This window comes from Homo sapiens, chromosome X, assembly GCF_000001405.40.
Source record: "Homo sapiens chromosome X, GRCh38.p14 Primary Assembly".
Lineage (NCBI taxonomy): Eukaryota > Metazoa > Chordata > Mammalia > Primates > Hominidae > Homo > Homo sapiens.
Window position 1 is genome coordinate 37,857,056 of NC_000023.11, and position 3,385 is coordinate 37,860,440.

Sequence of the window (3,385 nt, forward strand, 5' to 3'; positions counted from 1 at the left end):
CTTTGACTCCATGTCCCACAATCCAGAGCACACTGATGCAAGGCGTGGGTTCCCAAGGCCTTGGGCAGCTCTGCTCCCATGGATTTTCCACACTGAAGTTGCAAGCTGTTAATGGGTCTTCCATTCTGGGGTCTGGAGGATGGTGGTCTGCTTCCCACAGCTCCACAAGGCAGTTCCCTAGTGGGGACTCTGTGTGGGGTCTCCAATCCCACATTTCCCCTCCTCACTTTCCTAGTACAGGTTCTCTGTAGGGTCTCTGCCCATGCAGCAGGCTTCTGCCTGGATTCCTAGGCTTTTCCATACATCCTCTGAAATCTGGGTGAAGGCTGCCAAGCCTCCTTAACTCTTGCACTCTGCATGCCTGCAGGCTTAACACCACATGGCAACTGCCTAGGTTTATGGCTTGCACCCTCTGGAGCTTGTGGCCCAAGCTGTACTTAAAACCCTTTGAGCCAAAGCAGGAGTTTGGGCAGTTGGGATGTGGGGAGCAGTGTCCTGAAGCTGTGCAGGGTAATGAGGCCTCCAGCCTGGCCCAGGAACCATTCTTTCCTCCTGGGTCTCTGAACCTGTGATGGGAGAGGCTGCCTCAAAGATCTCTGAAATGCCTTTTTTTCCCCATTGTCTTGACTATTAGCACCTGGTTTTCTTGTCATGCAAATATCTCTAGAAAGTGATTGCTCCATTGCTGTCTTGGATTCTTCTCCTAAATCTTCAGGGCTTTCTAGATATAAGATCATGTCATCTTCAGAGAGGAACAATTTGACTTCTTCTTTTCCAATTTGGATGCCTTTTGTTCCTTTATCTTGCCTAATTGCTCTGGCTAGGACTTTCAGTAATATGTTGAATAGGAGTGGTGAAAGTGGGCATCCTAGACAATGTATTTTGACACCTTCAAAACACTGAAAGAAAATACTCTGAACTTAGAATGTCTATACAGCAAAAAACCCTTCAAAAATAAAGACGAAATAACAAAAATTTAGGCAAATATAAATGAAATTAGAAATTAGTTACCAGCAGTACATTCCAAGAAATACAAAAATTTATACTTTTGGCAAAATACAAACTAATTTTAGATAGAAGTTTGGGTGATGTAGGAAGAAATGAAGAGTAATTACAGGGCTACATTTAATGATTATGAACTCTATAAAACAATGATAATAATATCTGTGGAGTTTAAAGTATATGCCAAATTCAAATACAGGATAACAGTAGCATATAAATTGAGAGGAGGCTAAATTGAGTTAAAGTGTTCAAATGTCCTTTTATTGTTCAAGAAATGGGTAAGGTATCAAGTAATATTATACTTTGATAAATCAAGAATGCATTTTTGTATAGAGTAAAATGCACAAAATGAAAAATTTTTTTTCAGTGTATAATTACCAAGCTAACAGAGTAGAGAAATAGAATTTTAACAATACTCAGTTAACCCAAAAGAAGGCAAAGAAGGAGAGAAAAAAAGAACATAGTAAAAGCGAGATAAATATGTAAAAATAATAAAATGATAGATTTAACTCCAAATATATCTGATTTATAATAAATATAAGTAGATCATACATTCCACTTAAATAACCAAGGACAGAACAAAACACACTCCACCTATATGCTGATTATAAAAGTCACATAAAAATATCAAGGATGCAGAAAAATTTAAAGTAAAAGGATGCAAAATGAAACATTATTTAATGCTGGCATATATGTTTTAATAGCAGATAAAGTAGGTTTTAAGGCAAAAGACATTACTAGAGGAAAAGAGACACGTTTCATAATGGTAAGAGTCAATTCACTGGGTGGACAAAAGAGTCCAAAGTGTTATGCACTTAAATATGGGAAATAAAAATGAATACAGTTAAAAGATGAAAAAGATAAATTCACAGTTGTATGGAAGATTTTAATGCTCCTCTCAATAGATGACAGAATAAGCTAGCAAAAAGTACATTAGAAAAGATAAAGGAAATGTGAGCAATATGATTAACACATTTTATAATTGATGTGTGTAGAACTCTGAATACAACAACTGCAGAACAATTCTTTTGATGTACAAAAAGTACTTTAAGTGAAATATATTATCTTGCTTGAGGAATTTAATCATTACTTTTATGAATAATGATTGTAATATGGTGATAGATAATTTGTCTATTTGTTTTGTAGCTAGCAGTCCTTCAATTTCAAACCATAGAGAAACATATACTCCCATAAGAAAACGTTCCGGGAATTGGAAAGTATTTATTTTGCTTCAAAACGATTCATCTTTGAGAACCAGAGTTTATTGATCGAGTTACAAAGTACCATTTTGGGAGTGAAAAACTTTGTGGATTTGAATAAGATACTTAAGATCAGTTATTAATGTTGTCACTAGTAGGCCATGATATAAGTGTTCATAGAACTCTGTAATTTAAAATGCAAACTCTGCTTCCCTACAGGCTCTGTTGTAGGCAACTTCTTCTATCATTCTTTTGTTTCTAGTATGTAAGGCACTGTAGTCAAGACTCACACGTAGTACTATTTCAAAGCCTTTGTAATATCTGGTCCCAGTATGGCAAAATGAGTTTTATTTCATAGTACAAGCCATTATTACAAAAGAAAATTGCAAGGTAATACATTTTTTTAATTACCAGAACTAATTATCAAAAATAGAACACTAATTTTTAAATTACCTTACTTAGGATGAATATAGATCTACAATGGGGCAGGGAATAGAAGATATAAATGGAGCGGGAAGTTACTGTGCTGAGATATCCTTTCTTTCATTTCCAAGGAATTGATCACTAATGTAGATATTTGAGGAGAAATGTATTGACAATGAGGATTGCTATGCTGTAATACTAGTCTTTGGAGAATTGAAAGGAATAGGATTTTAACACTGGCTGCAAATCAGAAGCACAGGATGAGGTGTTAAAAAAATTTTTGTGCTAGACCCCACCCCCTTGAGATTCTGATTTAATTGTTCTGGAATCAAAACTGGCATCAGTAGTTTTTCAGAAGCTTCCCCAGGTGGGTGATTATGACATGTAGTCAGTCAGGGTTGAGAACCCTTGGTGCAAAATCTTTTCTTCCCCTTCAGATGTCATTACAACAAGGTAAATTCACTTTTGCTGGACAGGCTTAAACATAGTTCTGCTGGATGTTAGAACAATACATTCTGCTACTTCTTGGGAATGTTTTTGTGTCCTATGGGTTTGTCATTTATTCATTCATTCATTCAACAAAGGTTTACTTAGCACTCTCTATTGCCAAACATTGTGTTAGAGAGGTAGTCCTTAACCAGGGCAGGTTTTTACCATTGCCCCCACCTCCACCCCAGGGAGATTTGGCAATGCCTGGAGACATTTTGATTGTCATAAGCAGGGTGAGACCTACTGGCTTATAGTAGTTAGAGGCCATGGAT